The 26,133-nt window shown below is 36.7% G+C and overlaps 1 protein-coding gene across 22 annotated transcripts in view; it reads left to right on the top strand.

Moving 5' to 3' along the window:
• The window catches only part of ANKS1B (ankyrin repeat and sterile alpha motif domain containing 1B), a 1,250,151-nt gene that overhangs the window by 471,531 nt on the left and 752,487 nt on the right, over positions 1 to 26,133 (top strand). For all 22 annotated transcript variants that reach the window (XM_006719514.5, XM_006719507.5, NM_152788.4 and 19 more), the window contains one exon: positions 8,765 to 8,930. In XM_006719514.5, the coding sequence (XP_006719577.1) occupies positions 8,765 to 8,930 (166 nt within the window). The remainder of the gene's footprint in view (positions 1 to 8,764; positions 8,931 to 26,133) is intronic.

Here is a 26,133-nt window from a genome sequence, read left to right as displayed (position 1 = left end):
TCTGGTACAGACATACTTCACAAATGTTGTGAGTTTGGTTTCAACCACCACAATACAGTGACTATTACAGCAAAGCCAGTCACATGATTTTTTTGGTTTCCCAATGCATATTAAAGTAATGTTTACACTATACTGTAGTTTATGAAGTGTGCAATAGCATTATGTCTAAAAAAGAGTACATACCTAATTAAAAATACTTTATTACTAAAACATGCCAACGATCATATGAGCCTTCAGTGAGTCATAATTTTTTGCTGGTGGAGGGTCTTGCCTTGATTTGAATGGCCACTGACTGATCAGAGTAATGGTTGCTGGAGCTTAGGTGACTGTGACAGTTTTTTTTTTTTCTTTCAACTTTTAAGTTCCAGGGTACATGTGCAGGATGTGCAAGTTTGTTAGGTAAACGTGTGCCATGGTGGTTTGCTGCACAGATCAGCCTATCACCTAGGTATTAAGCCTAGCATCTATTAGCTATTCTTTCTGACGGTCTCCTCTCCCTGCCTCCCTGACAGGCCCCAGTGTGTGTTTTTCCCCCCATGTGTCCATGTGTTCTCATTGTTCAGCTCCCACTTATAAGTGAGAACATGTGGTATTTGGTTGTCTGTTCCTGCATTAGTTTGCTGAGGAAAATGGCTTCCAGCTCCATCCATGTCCCTGCAAAGGACATGATCTCATTCCCTTTTATGGCTGCATAGTATTCCATGGTGTATATGTACCACATTTTCTTTATCCAGTCTATCATTGGTGGCCATTTGGGTTGACCCCATGTCTTTGCTATTGTGAACAGTGCTGTAATGAACTTATATGTGCATGTATCTTTATAATAGAATGATTTATAATACTTTGGGTATATACCCAATAATGGGATTGCTGGGTCAAATGCTTTTTCTCCTTCTAGATCTTTGAGGAATCACCACACCATCTTCCACAATGGTTGAACTAATTTACACTCCCACCAACAGTATGAAAGCATTCCTTTTTTTTTCTGCAACAAGCCAGCATCTGTTGTTTCTTGACTTTTTAATAATCATCATTCTGACTGCATGAGGTGATCTCATTGTGGTTTTGATTTGAAATTCTCTAATGATCAGTGTTGTTGAGCTTTTTTTCATGTTCGTTGGACAATGAATGTCTTTTTTTGAGAAGCGTCTGTTTATGTCCTTTGCCCGCTTCTTAATGGAATTGCTTTTTTCTTATATATTTAACTTCCTTATAGATTCTGGATATTAGACTTTTGTCAGATGGATAGATTGCAAAAATTTTATCCCACTCTGTAGGTTGTCTGTTCACTCTGTTGATAGTTTCTTTTGCTGTGTAGAAGCTTTTTAATTTAATTAGATCCCATTTGTCAATTTTTGTTTTTGTTGCAATCACTTCTGGCATTTTCAGCATGAAGTCTTTGCCCATGCCTATGTCCTGAATGGTATTGCCTAGATTTTCTTCTAGGGTTTTTATAGTTTTACATTTTATATTGAAATCATGAATCCATCTTTAGTTAATTTTTGTATAAGGTGTAGGGAAGGGGTCCAGTTTCAATTTCCTGCATATGGCTAGTCAGTTCTCCCAGCACCATTTTTAAAATAGAGAATCCTCTCTCCATTGCTTGTTTTTGTCAGGTTTGTCGAAGATCAGATTGTTGTAGATGTGTGATATTATTTCTGAGTTCTCTATTCTGTTCCATTGGTCTATGTGTCTGTTTTTGTCACCAGTTCCATGCTTTTTTCATTACTATAGCCTTGAGTATAGTTTGAAGTCAGGTAGCGTGATGCCTCCAACTTTTTTCATTTTGCTTGGGATTGTCTTGGCTATTCGGGCTCCTTTTGGTTCCATATGAATTTTAAATTAGTTTTTTTCTAATTCTGTGAAGAATGTCAATGGTAGTTTAATGGGAATAGCATTGTCTATAAATTACTTTGGACAGTATGGCCATTTTCACGATATTGATTCTTCCTATCTGTGAGCATGGAATGTTTTTCCATTTGTTTGTGTCATCTCTGATTTCCTTGAACAGTGGTTTGTAGTTCTCCTTAAAGAGGTCCTTTGCCTCACTTATTAGCTGTATTCCTAGCCATTTTGCTCTCTTAGTAGCAGTTGTGAATGGCAGTTCATTCATGATGTGGCAGTTCATTCATGATTTGCCTGCAGAAAAGGCCATTGATAAAATTCAACATCCCTTCATGGTAAAAATTCTGAATAAACTAGGTTTTGAAGGAACATACCTCAAATAATAACAGCCATATATGACAAACCCACAGCCAACATCATACTGAATGGGCAAAAGCTGGAAGCATTCCCCTTGAAAACCAGCACATGACAAGGATGCTGTCTCCACCACTCCTATTCAACATAGTATTGGAAGTCCTGGCCAGGGCAATCAGGCAAGAGAAAGAAATAAGGGGTATTCAAATAGGAAGAGAAGAAGTCAAACAATATTTGTTTGCAGATCACATGATCCTGTATCTAGAAAGCCCCATCATCTCAGCCCAAAAGCTTCTTAAGCTGATAAGCAATTTCAGCAAACTCTCAGGATACAAAATCAGTGGGCAGTTTCTTAAAATAAGGGAACAATGTAGTTTTGCTGAATTATTTGAGTCTTCCTTTCATGAAAGATTTCTTTGTAGCATGCAAAGCTGTTTGATAGCATTTTACTCACACTAGAACTTCTTTCAAAATTGGAGTCAATCCTCTCAAACCCTGCCACTGCTTTATCAATGAAGTTTATGTAATATTCTAAATCCTTTGTTATCATTTCTACAATGTTCACAGCATCTTCACCAGGAGTGTATTTCATCTTAAACCACTTTGTTCGCCTGTAAGAAGCAACTCCTCATCCATTCAAGTTTTATCATGGGATTACAGCAATTCAGTCCTATATTCAGGCTCCACTTCCAGTTCTCTTGCTATTTATCCGTCACATCTGCAGTTACTTCCTCCACCAAAGTCAAACCTATCAAAGTCCTCCCTGAGGGTTGGAGTCAACTTCATCTAGACTCATTGATGTTGACTTCATCTGATGAATCACAAATGTTCTGAATGGCATCTAGAATGGAAAATCTTGTCTAGGTTTTCAATTTACTTTGCTCAGTTTCATCAGAGGAATCACTTTCTATGACAGCTATAGCCTTATATAATGTATTTCTTAAATAATAAGACTTGAGACTCTAAATTAATCCTTGATCTATGGGCTGGAGAATACATGCTGTGTTAACAGTCATGAAAACAACGTTAATCTCTTCGTACAGCTCTATCAGAGCTCTTGGGTGATCTGTGGCTTTGTCAATGAATAGTAATATTTTGAAAGGAATCTTTTCTTGTGAATAGTAGGTCTCAATAGTGGGCTTAAAATATTCAGTAAATTATGCTGTAAACAGACATGCTGCCAACAGACATGCTGTCATCCAGATTTGTTGTTTCATTTATAGAGCATAGGAAAAGTTGATTTAGCATCATTTTTAAGGAATCTAGGATTTTTGGAGTGGTAAATGAGCATTGGCTTCAACTTAAAGTCATCAACTGCACTAGCCCCTAACAAAAGAGTTGGACTGTCCTTTTAAAGTTTGAAGCCAAGCATTGACTTCTCTTCTCTAGCTGTGAAAGTCCTAAATGACATCTTCTGGTATGAGGCTGTTTCATCTACATTGCAAATCTATTGTTTAGTGTAGTCACCTTCATCAATTGTCTTAGCGGGATCTTCTGGATAACTTGTTGCAGCTTCTCCATTAGCATTTGATGCTTCACCTTGCACTTTTATGTTATGGAGATAGTTTCTTTCCTTAAGCCTTATGAACTAACCACAGCCAGCTTCAAACTTCTGCAGCTTCTTCACCTCTGGCAGCCTTCATTGAATTAAAGAGAATTAGAGTCTTGCTCTGGATTAGGATTTGGCTTGTGTGAATGTTGTGGCTGGTGTGATCTTCTATCCAGACCACTGAAACTTTCTCCATATCAGCAATAAGACTGTTTCCCTTTCTTATCATTTGTGTGTTCACTGGAGTAGCACTTTTAATTTCCTTCAAGAACTTTTCCTTTGCATTCACAGCTTGGTAGCTGTTTGGCACAAGAGGCCTAGCTTTTTGACATGTCTTCTTCACTAACCTTAATCATTGTTAGCTTTTTATTTAAAGTGAGAGACATGTGACTCTTCTTGAATTTGAACTCTTAGAGGCCATTGAAGGGTTACTAATTGGCCTAATTTCAATATTGTTGTGTCTCAGGAAATAGGGAGGCCCAAGGAGAAGATGAGACAGGGGAATGGCTGGTCGGTGGAGCAGTCAGAACACATACTACACTTATGCATTAAGTTCACTGTTTTATATGATTGTGGCTTGTGGCATTCCAAAACAATTACAACAGTAACATCAAAGCTCACTGATCACAGATGGCCATAACAGATATAATAATAATGAAAAATTTGACATATTAGGAGAATTACCAAAATGTGACACAAAATAAGAACATGTTGGAAAAATGGTGCTGATAGACTTGCTCAATGCCCGGTTGCCATAAATCTTTATTTTTTTAAAAATGCAATATCTGTAAAACACGATACACCTTGAGGTATGCCTGTACTAGAATAGACATATATATGGAACCAATTAGAAAGTCCAGATACAGATTCAATTATATGTAAACATAAGTCATATATGTATTATCACAGGAATTCTATTTCAAAATAGTTGAATATGTAAACAAAATATATGAACAAAAATGTTTCCTTCAAAGCAAAACATTAAAATTTCAATATGATAGGATTGGCCAAATAAATTATGACCAGGTATATATTGGGACCCAAGTTCATCATGTAGACATATAATTGTCATTGAAAAGGGTATAAAATATATCATTAGAGGTAAATAACAGATTAGGAAATATTTTATATAATACTATACTTATATATAATATTTTAATAAGATTTACAGAATATCCTTTGAACCCTCCTGCCACTTTGGGTAGAAAACTGCAAATGCTATCCTTAAGATTCTATAGAATCTACAGGGCATACAATTTCCATTCTCATTATCATCTCTTGATTTCATTTATTTTTCTCGTCTGCTGTCTGTTCTTGACTCTTCCCCATCACTACTAGAATAGGCAGCATAACCCTGGTTACTTGCTCCAAGAGACTTCATATGGGAAAATTTATAATAACATTATCCTAAATAACAAAACACCTAGGAAACATTTAAAAGTCCATTGTCAGGAGAATGTGTAAATGAATTGTGGTAATCTTAAACAATGAGCTCCTGTACCACACTGAAAATAGATGAAATTCAGAAACATAATCTTGATTGAGAAAAATCACAGAAGAACTAGAGCATTTGATACTATATATATAAAGTTTGAAAGCATACAGTACTAAAAATTTATTTTTTATTGATACTTACATGTATAGTTAAAATTTAACACAGTCCAAGCAATTAAAAACACAAAGCTCAGAAAGCATTTAGCCCTGGTAGAGGAGGAAAAAGGGTAAAATTGGAAAGATGAACATGGGGTGGGTTGGGGGACAGGTTTCAATGATACAATGGTAATATTCTACCTCTTAAACTGAGTAGTGGACACATGGATCCATTTTTTTAAAAAAATTATCTTGCATATCCTCTTTTGACGGTCACTTGTCAGATATTTTGTTCAACTATCTCTCTTTCTTGACATTGAAATATTTGGTTACAAAAGCATTGTTTCACTATCTTCGTTTTTACCAACTCCTTCCCGCGGGGGCCTCACCTTCCCTAAGGAAGCCAGGTTCTACAAAGACTTACATTCTAAGAAGAAATTATGGCCCTCCATTAGGAAGCAGAAGAGGGAGTACTTCATTATTGTTTAAAATATTTTTTCTTTCCTTTGCACATACTCACATGTCCACACACATTCACAGAGTGAAACAGTCTGGGAGGATGGTCACCAAAATATTACCCTCAGTTATCTCAGCATGCTTGATTTTCATGTGATTATTTTCCTCTTTCTTTATGTTTTCAAATTATTCTCTAATAAACCTATATACTTCATTTTTAAGGAAGAAAGCAAATTAACCCATGCTTTGTGATTAAATTTCAAAGTGGTTTTCGAGGCTTTAAAAATCCTCAGAAGTGTTCATACACACTGTAAAATTCCAACTTAACTAAATCCATGGGTTGTTTTGATTAATTTAATTTCAGGATGGAACTAGGAGTTTAACTGGAGACTCTTTTTTTCCATAGAATCTTTACAATCTTATCGTTGTAATCTCAGTTTTTCACTTTTTATATGCAAACTGGTGAACAATATTAACTGAACTGAAAGGCAAAATAATTTACATTTGAAAAAAAATCATTTCCATAACTTGTAGTTAGCTTTGTTTAAAGGACACTAGAGACTGTTCAGTTGATCAATACATATTTATTGAGCATCAACTCATCAACTATTGGCAGGACCTGTATTAGATTCTAGGGACAGAGTAGTGGACAAGACAAATTCCAGCCTTCATGGAGCTTATAGTAACCTGTTGGACTCATTGTACAATGTGTTTCATCCACAATTTTATCAGCAGATAATTCTGCTGGAAGATTTTCAGTAATGAGGACTTCCTTCTGTTGCTTTATAATGCTATTTGTTAACTCATTTTATAGTGCCTTTTTATTTTAAAAGGTAAACAATATCATTAATTCATAGAAAATTATTTTTTGTATTGAGCCAAATTTGCCCTTCTTGACTTATAAACATTAGTCTTTGTCTTGTCTTTATGGGCCTTAGAATAAATCTACCACATCAACTTTTCTCCATCCCCCCTTTGTGGGATAGTTGATGAGGGATAGCCTTTCAAATCATTGAGAAAACTATTATGTGGCTATAAGGCTTCTCTGGATAGAACACTGCAGTTCCTTTCATCATTTCTTCTCTGACATGGTTTCAGAATTATATGCCATCCTGATTACTTTCCTCTGGATGCCTTCTACTTTGTCACCCTTTGTTGTTAAAAATAAATTACTCCCAATTTCCTGCTTTCAATGGAGTATCATGACCATAATTGACTCTCTGATGTGTGAGGGTCTGGTATTGTCTGAAAGCAATTACCCTGACCTTGAATTCTGCTGTACTGTAGAAAAACTAGGAATTCGTACTAAATCTTTATCAGCCCTAGAATATACTTAGGGAGATTTTTCAAAAATATTAGTCTATTTTCTTATTTGTCTTTTTCTTGATTGTGAGGCATACTTTATAAAAGTAGCACATACAGATGGTCTGCAACTCATGATGGTTCAACTTACGAGTTTTTGACTTTGCAATGGTGTGAAAGCAGTGTATGTTCAGTAGAAACCGTACATCAGATTTTGAATATTTTCCTGGGCTAGCAATATACCCTATGATAGATAACTCTCTCATGATGCTGAGCAGTGGTAGCAAGCCACAACTCCCAGTCAGCCACAAAACCACAAGGGTAAGTAACTAATATTCTACAATGTACTGTGTTACCAGATGATTTTGCCCAACTATACGCTAATGTAAGTGTTCTGAGCACATTTAAGGTAGGCTAGGCTAAGCTATGCTGTTTGGTAGGTTAAGTGTATTAAATGCAGTTTCTACTTACAATATTTTCAACTTACTTTGGGTTTTTTTGTAAAGCTGAGGAGGATCTGTAGCAAAAATAAAATATGATTAATTGTGAATTTCATCATGCAGAATTTCACAGTCTTCTCCAGCAGACTGTGAACTTCTTCAGAGCAAGGATTATGTCTCATTAGTTTAAAAACAGTCCAGCATTTAGCACATTATATATATATACATATATATATAATATATAAATATGCTATATATATTCTACATATATATAGTAGATGCCCAATAAGTATTTGTTGACCAATTAATGCCTTATGTACAGGAAATCAAAATCTTATAAAATGAAATAAATTCTAATTTTTAGAATATATCAAAGAATCAATCATATAGAACTGGACCTATATTTTATCCTAACCTGAAAAGAGTACCTTAGTATATTAGTTAATGGTATTTACAAGGAAAGATACTAGTGTGCTGGATGGCAAGACATTTAACTCTAAATGACAGAAAACCCAATTAGCAATGGCTCAAACTGTAAGAATGTTATTATTTATGTAAGAAGACTGGAGAAACTGGCCCTGGGTCTATTTGAGCAGCTCAATGATATGATCAATGTCCCAGGCTCTTTTTATCCTTCTGTTGCCATTCTTGGCTTGTTACCTTTTTGATCTGAAGATTCTTGCCTTTTGGTCACAAAATGCTTGCCCTAGCTCCAGATATCAAAACTGCATCCAAAGAGAGGAGCCTGGGGATGGCCTTGGCTCTGAAAGAGCCTCCTTATATGCTTCTTCCTTGGGGAAAAATTTTTTCCCACCAGCCTTTTAGCAAACTTCATCTTACATCTAATGGGCCAAAGTTGAGTTATATGGGTGTCTCCGAGTTATATGGGTGTCTCCAGGAGGCCGGCAAAGGAGTAGAGTCTTGGGGATGACTGTTGATTAGTTAACCAGCAGTTTATGCCACAACTAGATAATAGATATATATTACAAAAAAGGGCAATACCTTTACTAATTCAGTAATAAATTCAGTCCTTTTAAATTATGAGGACTCTTAAAAATATCACTGATATTGGGTTTACATGATTCTATAATTTATTCAAACAGATGAATCATCAGCTGTCAATCACTTTGGAAAGAACTAATGAACCTGATTATCTTTTCTAGTTTTTATAAATTAAACAAGGCTGTTTCTTCATCACAAAGCTGTTTTTATTTTTTCTTCTTTTCAGGAGTCCTATCCAAAGAAGAGAAATTACACTATGGAAATTGTACCATCTGCTTCTCTGGATACATTTCCTTCAGAAAATGAGAACTTTCTGTGTGATCTCATGGACACAGCTGTTACAAAGAAACCTTGCTCCTTAGAAATTGCAAGGGCACCTTCCCCAAGAACTGGTAATATCTCTTACTCACAATTGGCCTGATTCAATTTACTTGCTTATTCATATGAAGATGCATCATTAACATTTTGGTTTCCTACTATGTTATCAAAATGAAAGTTCCCCCAATGTAGTTCCAATAATTATTTTTTCATTTTGAAGTGAGTCCAGGTAGGTCAGAAGGTTTTTTATTTGAAGTCTCCTAACTTCCTGGTAAAAGCCATAATGGACATGGTAATGCTTTGATGAAGATGCTTTGAAACCTTTTAATACTGAAAAAACCTTCTAGGTAAGATACACAGCTTTGGTTCCTTCAGGAGTTCACAGCCAATTGGTAGCAATTTTTGTATCATTTTCTGTAGCCTATCTGTTACCAAGTTATCAAATCTTACTTAGCTGCTTTATATATTTCATGTCTTTTATGGCATTATCAGATTCATTATTTTGTTTTATTTTTTGCATTACAAACTAGTGAACAAAGCAAGACAAATATTATCCCTATTTTGCTGATAAAGAAATTAGAGTTTTAAGAGCAATAGTGGGGCCTATGCTTGAACATGGATTTTTGACTACCATTATAGTTTCTTTCTATTACTTTAAGAAAGAATACAGAGTGATTATATGAAAGCTAATGAAGGAGGAAATTTTCAAGTGGATGGTCAATATATTTAATGCTGTGAAGGAGTTGTAAGAAAAATTCTGAAGAGAGGCTTTTTTTTTTGGTTTGGTAATGCAGTCGCAACTTACTTTTGAATAGTAAATTTTAGAAGTGATGTGGTACAAGTAGATGTCTGGAAGTTAATAGTGAGACATTGGGAAATGGGAAATAAGACACTGGGAAATGGAGTAGAGAGTACGGATGACTCTTTCAAGGAGATTAGAAGAAGAGGTATGATAGTAACATAAGAAGAAAGCAGGTGCAAGAGGGAAATAGCTGGTTTATGTTAGGATAAATAAGACTTGATCAAGTTTAGAGGAATTTTCTGGTAGAGCAAGGTATTGAAGATAAAGAATAAAAAGAACAGAATGGGTAGAAGTTAAGACTCAGCTAGTTTAGGGAAACACAGACCTTGCTTCCCCACAGAGTAGCGAGAAGACAGCATGGTTATGAATATAGAGAAATTCTGAAATATTTATTTTCAAATGGATTCAATTTCTGGGTAAGATAAAAGGTTATTGGCCGAAAGTAAGAGCTAGATCTTAAGAAGGGTTAAATTAAAATTCAGTCCAGGAGCGATGGCTCATGCCTATATTCTTAGCACTAGCCTATTACAGACACTACCTCATGCCTGTAATCCTAGACAAGGTGGGTGGATCACTTGAGCTCAGGAGTTCAAAACTAGCCTGGGCAACCTGGTGAAACCCCATTGCTACAAACAATTAAAAAATTAGCTGGACGTGATGGCCCATGCCTGTAGTCCCAGCTATTCAGGAGGCTGAGGTGGGAGGATTGCCTGAGTTTGGGAGGTCAAGGCTACAGTAAACCGTGGTCACACCACTGCACTGCAGCCTGGGTGACACAGTGATACCCTGTCTCTAAATAAATAAGTAAATAAAATTCAGAAAAGCCATTATACGTAATAGTCTAGGGAATTTTGTACAAGTGAAAAAAATGGATTTTTGAGCAGTACTGAGGCTAGGGTGTTAATGAATCATAAACATACAGAAGGAAGACTTTTAAGGTAATAGTGCAGTAATGAAAATAGTAAATTTATTGAGCATTTATTATGTGGCAGATACTGTTCTAAGTGCTTTATATGCATTATTCCATATGATTCTTACAATGCTGTGAGGTATTAATATCATTATTCTCATTTTAGAGATAAGGAAACTGAGGCATTGAAACATTAGCTGGCCTCCCAAGGTTACATGTTAATGAGGGGTAGATTTGGTACTTGACCTTGAGTTGTCTAACTTGTGCTCTTAAACACTATGCTGTAGTGCTGCATTTTACTAGGGGATGAGGTGGGGTAGATATTAGGAATCAAATACTGAAACCCTCAAGAAATGTAGAGATATGACTGGAGGTCCACATATGATAACAATAAAATTACAAAAAGAATGTTATAATAGAATAGTGTAAACTTCAGATGAGCATCAGAGTTTGGATGAAGGCCAAATAATAGAAAGTGACCCACAGCGGTCATGGAGAATGAAAACAATGCTGACCCCAGGCTATGGAAGTTGACAAGAATGAGAACTTTTCCTTTTCCGTAAGAGAGATAATGAGGGAAATAGCATATTCAGGGGGGGAAGCTTCATTAAAATAGGAAAATGCAGGAAATAGATATGCAAAATGTGAAAGAGCTTTAATTGGGGCACAGAGGGTAGGGGAATATCAGGTGTGATAGAGGAAGGAATGCAAAATTGAAGACACAGCTATGTATTGATTAAGTAGTCAAAAACTAATTGAGTTCTTATGCATGCTGGGGCACAATTTTGAATGCTGAGGATACAAGGATGAAAATGACATGGACACAGATAACAAGGCTGATCAGGCTCAGGTCAACTCTTGCTGAAAACAAATAAAAATGCTGGATACGATATAGAAAAGAAAAAAACTTCTTAAAAGTATCAAAAAGCTGATATGAAAATTACAGAAATCGAATCACATCTAAATTAGGAATTTCTTTTTATTAGTTGGTTAGTAAGAAATAATCAAGCCAAAACATTGGCGAGGGTAGGAAATAAATGCTGCACTAAAGTCACATTTGTCCTGGGGGAGCTTACTGAACCTGCTAATGAACTTCAGTGCTCAAGACTTCTGTGGCTTTGGATACTGAAAACAAATATCTACACAGCCTGTCCAGCTCAGGGACTGTAATAGGAAATCCTTCCTCCATAGAACTAGGATTCCAAGGGCTACAGCCTTAGAGGAATCAGAGGTAATCCTGTATTCCCCACCCCAAGGGGACTCCAAGGAAAGATGATTTTTTGTGAGCAGAACAAGGCAGGTCAGGGGGTGGGAAATTCCTGAAGAATTATTACTACTAACTAGCCCTCACAGATTGCCACACAAAATTCATATCACCTTGGTGGTCCAAAAAATGTCAGTTCATGCATTTAAACTAATACCCTCAGGTATCAAGTGGAAGCAAATGTAATCCCTCTGGAGAGAAATATACTCTCCTCCAGGGCCCCAAATAATTTCTATGAATAATTTTCCTATTATTAAAATTAACAGTTTCTAATAATTAAGCCTATAGGGAAAGAAAACCCAACAGGAACCAACAAAAACAAGGAAGAGCCGATCCACACCTTAAGTGCTTTCAAATACTGGAATTAGTAGATGTAGACTATACAATGACTGTGCCATTATAAAGAAAAAGTGAGCCTGAAGATATTTTTTGGGAATAGAAACTAAAAGAAAATGACCTAGCATATTGGAGAGGAAAAAAAAAACTTTTAGAAATGAAAAAAATTCCAATTACTTACACATACACACATGCAATTTAAAACTCAATGAATGAGTGGAACAGCAGATGAGATTCAGCTGAAGGGAGATATAGTGAACTGGAAATTAAGCCACAAGAAATTTTTCAGAATGTTGCACAGAGACAAAAATGTGGAAAATATGAAAGAGAAGCTGAGAGACTTGAAAGATATACTGCAAAGTTTTCTCGTCTAATCAAAGTTCCAGAGGAGAAGAAAGAGAGAATGTGACAAATATAATATATTTGAGGAGGTAATTTTTCAAAAAGCATGATATTACCCTTGAGCTCGAAGAGGTAGACAAGTGAAGAGTTAAATTCAACAGAGCACAATAATTGCTAAGATAGTGTTTCACAAAGAGTTCTTTGGGAGCAAAAATGGGGGAGTACTTAACCTTACCTGGAGCTTGAGGAAGACATAAAGGAGATGATGCCTGTATCAGTTATCTATTGTTATTAACAGGCCACCCCAAAACAAACTGACATCAGTCATTTATTTTGCTCACAAATCTGCAAGTTTGACAGGGCTTGTCAGGGACTGATTATCTGTGTCACATCTTATGATCTCGGGCTGTTCAACTGGGGAATAGAGGAACACTTTTAAGATGGCCAGCTCATATGGCTGAAAGTTAGTGTTGGCTATGTACCAGTAACTTGGCTAAGGCAATGGACTGGAGGCCTTTTTTGCTCTCCAGGCACTGCTTGGGTTTCCTCCTGACTACTGCCTGGATTCTGAGAGCAAGCATCCCCAAAGAACTAAGAGGAAGCTGCATCATTTGTATTACGTCCTTGTTCTGGAGGCTGGAAATCTGCAGGGTACTGGCATGGTCAGGTTCTGGTGAGAGCTCTCTTCCTGGCTTGTTGAAGGCTGTCATCACCCTGCTTACCAAACCTCTTCTTTGTACATGCACAGAGAGAGGGAGTGAGTCTTAGATTTTTGCCACAGGTCTAGGTAAAACACTGCAGAGAGAGAAGAAACTTTCTTTCAGCTTACAGTTACGTTTTCTTTCCTTTAAGCTTTCATCAACACCTTTCTTATAGCTTTTAAGGCTTCCACAAATCCATCCTTCCTTGGCCCTTTTGGCTTGACAGGCACTGGCTTTGGGGCTCTTCCAGCTTCTGTCTGCTGCCCAATCTCGGTGCTAATGCCACGTATTTTAAGTTTTTGTTTTGGCAGCACCCCATATCCAACTATCAAAATCTCTTCTGGTTATTGTCACTGCATAACAAACCACTCCAAAGCTTAGTGAGTGAAAACAACAGTCATTTGTTTTGCTTTTAAATCTGCAATTTGGGGAGGGCTTGGCAGGGATAGCTTGTCTCTGTTCCATGTGGTGTCAACGGGGGAAGCTTAACTGGGGTCTGGAGGTTTTATTCTCAAGATCCATACTCATATCGCTGCCATGGCCTACTTGGACTTTCTCGTGGTCTGTGTTGGGATTCTAAGCAAACATTCTAAGAAAATGAGACATCAGAAGGCAACATCACTTCCATTGTAGTCAAAAGCCTGCCTACATTTAAGTGGAGGGAATTTAATTCTTGCCTCCCCTTGATGAAGGAGTGTTAACTAAAGTCACATTATAAGAAGATATTCTTGCAGCCACTTTCAGAAAATATAAACTCCTACAATGCCTGAGTTTGTTGTTGTTGTTGTTAAAATTGGGTAAAGACTTAGTTTGCATGGCTACATAATTTTCCCCAATTGTGTTTGATCACTTGGGTTTAGTATAGAAGAAGCCAGTTTGCTCAGTTGACCCAGGCTTAATTCATAATAATTGATAGTCTTTGGGCTGTGATCATGAATTCTAAGGTAAAGGAGTCCAGAATTTAAAGGGAAATTTTGTGGTTTTTAAAAAATGATTAGAATTGGGATGAATATAGATCAAAACAGTTTCTATGTAATTTTATATGAGACCTTATCCACTCAGCCCCACAGAATTGCCCCCAATAAGCGCCATAGCAGGTAGAGGAGAGCATCAACATAACTGTTACTTCTTTTCTGGTTAGGTAAGGAAATAGTTTGCATTTTTTCCTCTGTTGATTCCATTAACCCATAGTTTAGGTTTTGCATCAATCCTATTACTTCCAAGTCTCTCAACTGCTATGACTAGTCCCTTGTGACTCATACCTAGCTATGCATTTCCCCCTTAGGGCCAACTAACTGATCTGGAGAACTCAGGGAAGTTACTGACCTCTCTTGGAGTTACTGATGTATTCCCTTTGTTACTAAATTCTTTAGTGAGTAAAGGTAGAATTTGCAAACGTGGAGACATTTCTTGATGCACACGAGTCTTTTAGAGACCCTCAAATTGATCTTGGTGGGTAAATACCCTATAGTTCTGATCCATTCAATAAGCACTTATTGAGTACCTCTGATGTTCTAGGCATTGTGCTAAATATTGCATAAGGAACAGAGCAAAAGGTATAAGTGTTGACCTTTAGGAGCTTAGAATGTGTTAAAATTAAGGATAATAAGGGCAATGAACAAGATAAGCATAGGGTGCTCTGGGAGAGTAGAAGGGGAGGAATGTGAATGAAGGAAGGCTTGTGGGAGGAAGTGCTACATGATTTGCTAGCCTCAAAGAAGGAGGAGTTAGATAGATGAATAAGGTATGGCACTCCAGGCAAGGGGCAGTGTGTGCAGAGATGCAGAGAGGGTGAAAGAACAGAGTACATTCAGAGACTATGCCCACTTGGCATGGTTAGAGCATAGAATGATACTAGGGTAGAATGCATAAAGAACAAGGAGTAACAGGCAGAAGTTTGGATTTCATCTGACAGCAGAAGTGAACATGGCATGATCAGGTTTCTGTTTTAGAATGATCCCTCTAGAAGCAATGTGGAGTATAGAGTATAGATTGGAGAAAGATGAAGTTGAAAGCGGGAAGATTCATTAGCAAATCAGTGCATACACTCAGCAAGAAATGACAGTGGCCAGAACAAAGACAATTGCAGCAGAGAAAGGCAAGGGGAAACAAAGCTGAGAAGCATGTAGGAGTAAAGCTCATCCTTCTCATCTTGAGAATGCTGACACTTGGACAATAAGGGGTCAAGGAAATTTGAGAATTGTACTTCAGGGAATGCATTCAATGCTTTAGGTTAACTGTGTTAGGTAACATGGCTTAGGCTTACAGACAAAATGGGCATTACTACTCTATACAAGAACTGCATGAAGATTTCCTGGAGAGACAGGGTGGTGGAGGTGGGGGTGGAGAGAGAGAGAGAGAGAAAGAGAAAGACTGAGGGGTGATCAAGTCTTAAGAGGGACTGTTATAGATTGAATTGTGTCCCCCCCATATTATGCCCCCGAAAAGAAAGGTTGGAATCCTAACCTATAGTACTTTAGAATATGATCTTATTTGGGGAATTTGGATATAGAATCATTGTAAAGATAATCAAGTTAAAATAAAGCCATTAAGTGGACCCTAATCCAATATGACCAGTATCCTTATTTAAGGGAAATTTAGACCCAGAGACAGGCACCCATAGAGGGAAGACAATGTGAAGATATAACAGGAAAAGGCAGCCATTCGCAAACCAAGGAGGCCTGGGACAGATCCTTCCCTCACAGCCCACAGAAGGAACCATCCCTGCCACCTTGAGTTTGGACTTCTATCCTTGAAAGCTGTGACACAATACATTTCTATTGTTTAAGCCACCCAGTTACTAGTATAGTTGGCCCTCTGTATCTGTGAGTTCCACATCCATGGATTCAACCAACTACAAATTAAAAATATGTCAGAAGCAAAAATGGATGGGTGGGTCTGTGCTGAACATGTACAGACTTGTTTTCTTGTCATCATTGTCTAAAGAAAATACTGTATAACAACTATTTATGTAGCAGTAGGTATTACAAGTAATCTAAAGATGATCTAAAGTATCCAGGAGGATGTGAATAGGTTATATGTAAACACTACACCATTTTATAGAAGAGACTTAAGCATCCGTAGATTTGGGTATCCTCAAATACCCAATCCTCCTCAACAGGGAGTCTGGGAACCAATTCCCCTTGGACACTGAGGGATGGCTGTAGTTTGTTGAAGCACCCCTAGGTAACAAATATAGGGATTAAAACTGAGCACACAAATTCAATACATAATAGGGAGAGGCAATTGAGGATGCTTGGGCCACAGTACAGCACACAACCTGCCTGGCTTTCATTTCTCAGGGGCTGAGCAGCTGAGGGTTGGTTGTGACTGGCAACATTGTGTATTCATGGTATAAGTATGCATTTGCTCAGAAAATCAAAGTTAACTTTCCTTTCTGTGGTCTCTTGTATTAAAAACTAGAAGGGCTAGTACAAAATAAATCTAATCCTGACCACAGGAAAAAAAAAATTATCAGATGTACTAGTTTAATTTAAATAAAAGCAACTTATTAGTAGATCTGTATTCAGCAAGATTTTACAATTCAACCAGAAAATGAAGGATACTCTTTCCAAGGAGCATTTTACTAATGCCTCATGACTACAGATTTCACATGAAGTAAAGAATAAGATTGTTCTAGTACTGGACTTATTAAATAAAGACCAACAGTAGTCTAGCACTTGCTTGGTGAATTTGCTAAGACTCATGTTTATGCGACCACTATTGAATCCTGTTTGTTTCCTTTATAGCATCAAGCTAAAGACCTTGTTTAATTATAGTGGTGACTCACTTGCATAAATGAATGAATAATTGAATGAACGAATGAATGGATGGATATTATGTTTAAAAGAAAATGGCTGTAATGGCAGTAAAATCCCTTATGAAATAGCCAGGTGTCATCAAATATAATGTTTTCTTGTCTCCTTTTCCTTTGATTTTAACCTTCCTAGGGGAATTTTTCCATTTTAAGGTAACTAGGCAACCGTTATTTTGAATCACTTAGTACAGGCTTTGTATACTATGGATGCCCGATAAATCCATTTTGATTAATGAGCAATTTACAAAACCACCAGCAAAGACTGCTTCCAATCATGTTGAAAGAGAATAGATGATCTCTGATAAAAAAAGGACACATTCAGCAGCTGCATGCCAAGATAGTGTGGGTCTTAGTTACCTCTGTTCAATTTGCTAATGTGCTTACTGGACTGTGGTCAACCTGAAATGAAAATGCCATCTGGTGAATAATCCACACTCTACTATACCTTCTGCAACATCTGAAATAGGTAGGAGTGTGAGGGTGATTCTGTAACTTGTTTATACCTAAATATTTTTTGAATGGTGAAACTTCCTTAATTCTATTGCCAAAATTTTGAAATTAAATGAATTCAGACTGGACTAGAACAAATGTTTATCTCTGCTGAGCAAGTGGGTAGTGTCAACATGATTTCTGTGGGTATATTTAACTCATTTAAGAGAGCAAACTATTTTTGAGCCCCATGGAAGCATTATTTTACACACAAATACTGGCCTTGCTGATAAGAAGCACTTTTATCAAACAGTAATTATTTACTTGGCATTTGCTCTGTGCTCAGTGCTGTCTTAGCCATTTATTAAAGCAGATATCTACATGATAAATTTGTAAACCAGTGCTAGTTCATGGATGGGCAAAGAGAGAAATCAAGGAAAGCAGTACCTGAAGGGAATTACCTGCCTCCTTCATCCATATGGACAGTTTACCAATTAAAAAATATAATCATCTCAATTTGTTCAACTTAGTGGAAATGTGTTGTAGTTGGAAAACAATATTATAAACTACACACACACACACACACACACACACACACACACACACTTTTTCTCCCCTGAAATCAATTTTGTTTCCACTGTGTGTGAATAACATGAATTGTAGACTAGTAAGATTTCTAAAAATACAATGAACTCCTGCTAGGTTGATGATTTGATGATGTGGGAATATAGGCTCTTTATGATGTCGTGTATGCTATCCTATGCAACAGAATTTCTCCTATAATGTCAGTGTATGTATAATAACAAGGTAAACATTCATTAATTCATAAGTTCATGCTCATGAAAGTAGAGTGGACTTACCACACTGCTTCACATTCCACTCTTGTTCTGTATTGCTTTCCTCAATCCTGAGATACTTTTCCTCCCTTGTCTCTCACTCTCAGCAGATGGTCTCATATTTTAATTCATAAAGAAAATAGAATTTACCAGATGGAACTTTGTTAACTTCCTTCATTAGGTGATTAAATGCAACTGCCCTGTAACCTTCCTCTTGCTCCCTGCTCCTGTTAAGATACAGGGGGTTTTCCTCCTCCTGCCCAAGGTTGGCTCCATCTTCTATGCGCCAGGTCTTTTCCTCCTCAGGAATTTGACCCCTGCATTCAGTCTTTCTCTCCTCTATAATTTTAATTGTCCTTTTTTTTTTTTTTTTTTTTTTTGAGACAGAGTGTCCCTCTGTCACCTAGGCTGGAGTGCAGGGGCACGATCTCGGCTCACTACAAGCTCCGCCTCCCAGGTTCACCCCATCCTCCTGCCTCAGCCTCCCGAGTAGCTGGGACTACAGGCGCCCGCCACCACGCCCGGCTAATTTTTTGTATTTTTAGTAGAGATGGGGTTTCTCCGTGTTAGCCAGGATGGTCTCAATCTCCTGACCTCGTAACCCGCCCACCTCGGCCTCCCAAAGTGAATTGTCCTTTTTTACTGCATTGTGCACATCAACAATTAAATCTGCTCGGGTCTTTATCGTTTGAAAAGCAGTAGCAAACCACAAGAACAACTAACAGCAAAAACAACTAAACAATAAATGAAAACTTCCTTGATCCCACCTGACGACTCAGCTAGTGTTCTCTCTTTATTCCCGTGCTCTCAATATGTTCATTTTCCTTCTTTGTTTTCACTTCTCAGCCCACTTTAGTCAGGTGTCTATTCCCCATTACTCTGTGGAAATGTGCTTTCTAAAGTTACTAATGACCTTGATGTCACAAAATCAAAAAGGGCATTTCTCGATCCTCACTTTTTCTTAACCTCTCAGAAGCACAGGTTGGCGACACCTCCATCTGGAGACCCTTTCTTCCCTTTGTCGTCTAAGGTAGATTTTCATCTTATTATGGTGCTCCTTCTCTATTGTGATGGCTGACATTTTTCTGCATGACTCTAAAAGTTGAGAGTTCCTCAAGGCTCGTAAACAGTCCTCTTTATTCTTTTTACTTTTTTCTCTCTATAAATTATCTCATCTATAGTACGGCTTCTGTTACAATCAACATGCTGAAGACTCCGACATACTTATCTCCAGGCTAGACCACTTCTCTTAACTCCAGGCCCATCTATTAATCCATCTAATATCTTTACTTGTATATCTACTTAATATCATCTACTTATTTACTTATATATCTCCAAGGGCACCTCAACCTTAGCATATCTAGAACTAAACTCCCACATCTTTCCCCCCAAACCTTTTCTTCATGCTGAATTTCTCATCTCAGTAAATGATTTAATTATTCATCCAGCCTGAAGGTCATTATTGCAACCTCCCTATCAATTCCTCATATTCAAATAAGCGCCAGGTCTTGTGACTTTTAGCTGGAATAAACAGTAGGATGAGGGTAATTATGTACATTTCTATCCCTAAATATCTCTCAAATCCATCTGCCTCTCTTAATCTCCGTCACCACCAATAACTGTCCTGGACTATTATAATAGTCTCCTAAAGTCCTGTTTCCCTTGTAACACTTCCTTGGACTATTATAATAGTTTCCTAAAGTCCTGTTTCCCTTGTAACACTTCCCTAGGTGTGTCCCAGAGATTCTGTAGATTGTATCTTCTTTGTAGAAATGTGAATTTATTATTCACATTGCAGTCAAAGTAATCTTAAAACCACAAATCTGATTGCATCACCCTCCTTAAACTTCTGCAATAACCTTGCATCTGCTAAAGATACAGATTTTTAACTACTATTTTTGCTTATACATTGTAATATTTAAATTTAGATTATCCTGGCTAGTGTGCAGTTGAAACCCTGACAAGAGTTATTTTCAATGCTCCTGAAAGAGGCAATATTGTCTGCAAACAGGGATAGTGTGACTTCCTCTATTTCTGTTTGGATGCCCTTTATTTCTGTCTCTCGCTTGATTGATCTGGCCAGGACTTCCAATACTACGTGAAATAGGAGTGGTGAGAGAAGGCATCCTATCTTGTGCCAGTTTTCAAGGGGAATGCTTCCAGCTTTTGCTCATTCAGTATGATGTTGGCTGTGGGTTTGTCATATATGGCTCTTATTATTTTGAGGTCTGTGCCTTCAATACCTAGTTTATTGAGAGGTTTTATGTTGAATTTTATTGAAAGCCTTTTCTGCATCTATTGAGATAATCATGTGTTTTTTGTCTTTAGTTCTGTTTATGTGATGAATCACATTTATTGATTTGTGTATGTTGAACCTACCTTGCATCCCAGGGATGAAGCTTAATTGATTGTGGTGGATTAGCTTTTTGGTCTGTTACTGGATTAAGTTTGCAAGTATTTTGTTGAGGATTTTTGCATCAATGTTAATCAAGTATATTGGCCTGAAGTTTCTTGTTTTTATTGTGCTTCTGGCAGGTTTTAGTATCAGGATGATGCTGGCCTCATAGGATGAGGTCGCAAGGAGTCCCTTATCAATTTTTTGAAATAGTTTCAGTAGAAATGGTACCAGCTCTTCTTTGTATATTGGGTAGAAATTGGCTGTGAATCAGTCTAGTCATAGGCTTTTTTTGGTTGTTAGGCTATTTATTCCTAATTCAATTTTGGAGCTTGTTATTGGGCTGTTTAGGGAATCAGTTCCTTCCTGGGTTAGTCTTGGAAGAGTGTATGTGTCCAGAAATTCATCCATCTCTTCTAGGTTTTCTCGTTTATGTGCATAGAGATGTTCATAGTTGCCTCTCATGGTTATTTGCATTTCTGTGGGGTCAGTGGTAACATCCTCTTTGTCATGTCTGATTGTGTTTATTTAGACCTTCTCTCTTTTCTTCTTTATTAGTTTAACTAGTGGCCTATCTTATTAATTTTTTTAACAAATCAGCTCCTGGATTTGTTGCTCTTTTGAACGGTTTTTCATGTCTTGATATCCTTCATTTCAGCTCTGATTTCAGTTATTTCTTGTCTTCTGCTAGCTTTGGGGGTGCCCTTGGTTCTCTAGTTCTTTTAGTTGTGATGTTAGGTTGTTAATTTGAGATCTTTCTAAATTTTTGATGTGGGCATTTAATGCTATAAATTTCCCTCTTAACACTGCCTTAGCTGTGTTCCAGAGATTCTGGTATGTTGTATCTTTGCTCTCATTAGTTTCAAAGAACATCTTGATTTCTGCCTTAATTTTATTAGTTACCCAAAAGTCGTTCAGGAGCAGGTTGTTTAATTTCCATGTAATTGCATGATTTTGAGTTTATTTTTTGAGCCTTGGAGCTAGAGGCTGTAATCCTTAGCAAACTAACACAGGAACAGAAAACCAAATACTGCATGTTCTCACTTAAAATTGGGTGCTAAATGATGAGAAGTGCTCATCATCATTTAAGTGAGAAGTTCTCACTTAAAATTGGGTGCTAAATGATGGACACCAGGAAGGGAACAACAGACCCTGGGGCCTACTTGTGGGTGGAGGGTGGGAAGAGGGTGAGGATCAGAATAAATAAGTATTGGATACTAGGTTTAGTACTTGAGTGATTAAAAAATCTGTACAACAAACCCTTGTGACACGAGTTTACCTATATAACAAATCTGAAAATGTAGCCTTGAAACTAAAATAAAAATTAAAAAAGAGGCAATATCATTATAGCTCTTGGAACTCACAATTGTGTAATTTCAGCACATACTAACAATTAAGCTTTTTTTTTTTTCTGAGATGGAGCCTTGCTCTGTCGCCCAGGCTGGAGTGCAGTGGCGTTATGTCAGCTCACTGCAAGCTCCGCCTCCCAGGTTCACGCCATTCTCCTGCTTCAGCCTCCCCAGTAGCTGGGACTACAGGCACCCACCACTGCGCCCAGCTAATTTTTTGTATTTTTAATAGAGATGGGGTTTCACTATGGTCTCCATCTCCTGATCTCATGATCCGCCTGCCTCGGCCTCCCAAAGTGCTGGGTTTACAGGCGTGAGCCACTACGCCCAGCCTTAAGCTCTTACTTCATGGAATCACTCAGTAACTTTGCTCTATTTAGCAGCTGCTGCATACAACATTAATTGGGAAATAGTTTTATACTGAAAATATAATCTTGTAGAAATCTTACAATCTTACGTAATGCTTGTAGTCTCATATTTAACTATTCACCTTACCTGCATTTTCTAGACTTGTCAGATATATCTACTGCAGACTTACTAATTCATTTTCTTTTCATTTAGTATTATATGAAGACTACTAGTTCTGTCTTTACATAGTCCTAGACTCTAAGTAACATTAACACAACTAACTGACATACAATACAGTCACACTGTATGTTTAAAAAGTAACAATTTTACCTTGATTATATTGTATTCTAGATTTTATCTAATAGATTACATTTTATGTTTATATTAGAACACACAAATTCAAGAAGCTCATAATAGTTCTTCAATTGGCCTTTCAGAGGCAATTTATACAAAAAGGGAAAAGAGAAAACTAGGTTATTCTTAGGTGTTATTTTTGGGTATTAACAGATGAGGTTTGAATAATTTAGAAAAATAGAGAATTAAAAATAATTTTGTTATTTAATCTCAGTCAATAAATAATGTACAAAATATATCCAGATCTGTGATTTCATCACATTTATCATCAGATGTCATATTGCAGTTGTGGAAACTAAAACAGAATAGGGGAATAGTTTGTTGAAGGAGATAAGAATTCAGAAGCAAATCTGGCATTGAGAAATCACTGTAGTTCTCAGTGCATTATTCAAATAATTCAGTGTTTCCTTTTACTGTTCAGAACCATCTCTTTTCATAAAATCATTCATTCATTAATCCATCTATCCACCAATTCATTTGTTCCACAAACGTTTGTTGAGGACATACTATTTTCCAGGTCAACTAGGTGTGTAAGACACAAAGACAACAAAGACATATTAAACATAGGGTAACAGAGAGGCTTTATCTACAGTACTTGGCAAAATAATAGCTTAAAGCACTCTAGATACTGGGATTCAAGAAGGTTCAAAGACTATTATTACATCCAGAGCTGTATATTTAACTATCAGATTTAGCCAGGCTCATTCTCTGTGGGAGAACCTATTCTATTTATATGCAGAATCCAGAGAAAAACTGCAGTTGCCATTTAATCACATAGGTTTTCTATGCTTTTCATTTCCATAGAACCATTCAATTTATTACCAAATAATCATCTAGTGTTTTCTGTGTTTTTCACCTGTGCATAAAGGCAATAAAAAGAGAATAATGGAATGCTAAAAGCTATGCCGTAAACAAGTCGAGAGCATTGAATCAGCTAAGCACTCCATTCCTTTTGAAACTAACTGACCTTTAGTCACAGGCATCTATGAGGATGCTGGATTATCATTTCAACTGAAGCATACTTTGGTTACTATAACCACGTGTGTAAAAGTGATTTGTGTAAATCTTGAGATACGGTGGCATACCTTTCTGAAGGTATGAGCTGACTTAAAATGCCTACCTTTTAATTGCTGTTGGATTGTATTACTTTAAAATTTTTAGCATAGCTACTAATATAATGCTTCTTTTCTCTTCTAGTAGCTCAAAAATATGTATTCTCATTATAAAATAGAATAAAGTTTTACTAAATTTTGTTCAATATATAGAAAGTAAAAAGAATAAAAGTACTTTCCCCGTATCATACTTATTGCAGCAACTAATTTAATATTCTGATGTATTTTCTTTCTTTGCTGTGCATAGTTTTTATATCAATGTGAACATTTGGTGTATATACATTTGTGGGTACTTTTTTTTTTTTTTTTTTCTGAGATGGAGTCTTGCTCTATCACCCAGGCTGGAGTGCAATGGCGTCATCTCCGCTCACTGCCACCTCCGCCTCCCGGGTTCAAGTGATTCTCCTGCCTCAGCCTCCTGAGTAGCTGGGATTATAGGTGCGTGCCACCATGCCTAGCTAATTTTTGTATTTTTAGTAGAGTTGGGGTTTCACCATGTTGGTCAGACTGGTCTCAAACTCCTGATGTTATGATTTGCCCACCTCGCCTCCCAAAGTTCTGGGATTGCGTTTGTACTGTATTCATTTTTTAATTAATTTAAACATTTTTCTTATTATAGAAGTATAATGGCTCTGTCATCATGGCAAGATCTGTCAAGTTTTTGTTAAAGCAATCCTTCCCCTATTTTCTCCTGCCCAGTGTTCCAAACAATAATGAAAGAAAAAATAGAAAAACAGAAAATTATAAACGTTACTTGTGCTGAAAAGCAAAGAAAATATCTTGATGCTCAACTGGATCAGAAGCACAAAATAGAAAGTGGGACTTGAATAGCAGCCCAGCTCGTGACTTGGTCCAGCAGTGGGCAGAGCAGTGGGGAGATTGCATTCTTAATGGTAATGGAGTCTAAAAGAGCTTCACTGGAGCTAGGGCCAGAAAGTCTGCCCCTCTGCTGAGAATGAGCAGCTGGGCATATTAAATTTCCAGACAATAAAAACAAGCAAGATAGAGGTTTGCTAAAGAACTAGAGAAACAAAGGTACTTAATAATTTTTATTTTTGTTAAAAAACATTTCTGGTAAAAATTTTAAGAGAAACCACTAAAAATTAGGAAAATATATCTTCGAAACCAATAATGAAGACTAAAAGAATAAAGCAACAATTTATTAATTAAAATGTCCCTAGTTCTTGGAAAAAAGAGTGAAGCAAAGAAGAAACATGGCAAACCAAAAATGCGAAGGAGAAGATAACTAATGAAAGACAAAGAGATTATATTGCATGCAATTTTTAAAATTCTTGCTATATGCTTTTTTATAAGAGTAAAACCTAAATCAAAGTGACACAGAAAGTTTGAAAGAATTGGGTTAAAATAGGAAAGATCAAGCAAAACCAACATAAAGAAAGGCATTGCAGGACTATCATTAGTCAAAATTTAATTGAAGGCTAAAAACATTAAAAAGGATAAAGAGGAATACTTTATAATATTAAAAGAATCAAACCACAGAAAGCACAATACCAAGAAGATATCATAGCCGTAATTTTTTTTACATACAACAATACACAACACAGCCTTGAAACATTAAAAGCCAAAACTGATAGGATTTTGAGAAACAGAAATCTACAATATTTGCAAGATTTTAATATGTCATGTTTCATTCAGAATATTGACAAATGAAGAAATATAATATTAGAACTATTGAATAATAGAATTAATAAGCTTGATTTAATAGACATATCTAGGACTTTGTGCCCATCAATACAGAATATATATATTCTTTTCAAGCACACATAAAACCCTGAGAAAAATTGACCACTTATTAGGTCATTGTGGCAATTTCAACACATCAGAGAAATAAGTCACAATCTGAAATCATAATATAATGAAATATGAATCAACAATAAAAAATATAAATCACATTATATTTGAAAAATGTCCCCCCCCCATATTGAATGTCTTATAAATTACTAAAGACATACATGCTTGTAGCACTGAATTAAAACCTGTAAACAATGCCTAACTTTATATAGGCAATGCTAATCAAGTCTCACATTTTGCCTGACCCAATTGTTCCCACTCTTCAGCTCACCTTCATTTTAAGCAATGCTCAAAGCTCAGTATATATCCTTTAATATACAAACATAGAAAAGCATGTCTATGTCATGATGATGGTAATTGTAATTTGCCAATGCAGAGGAAACTGAAACAGCTGTTTGTTGTCTAACAAAACTTTAAAGATAATTAAGTGGGAAATAGTAAGAGGTATATTTCACAAATACATAGTAAAT

The sequence above is a fragment of the Homo sapiens genome, chromosome 12 (genome assembly GCF_000001405.40).
Source record: "Homo sapiens chromosome 12, GRCh38.p14 Primary Assembly".
Classification (NCBI taxonomy): domain Eukaryota; kingdom Metazoa; phylum Chordata; class Mammalia; order Primates; family Hominidae; genus Homo; species Homo sapiens.
The sequence above is the reverse complement of the archived record's forward strand: the minus strand, read 5'-3'. Positions and strand labels throughout refer to the sequence as shown.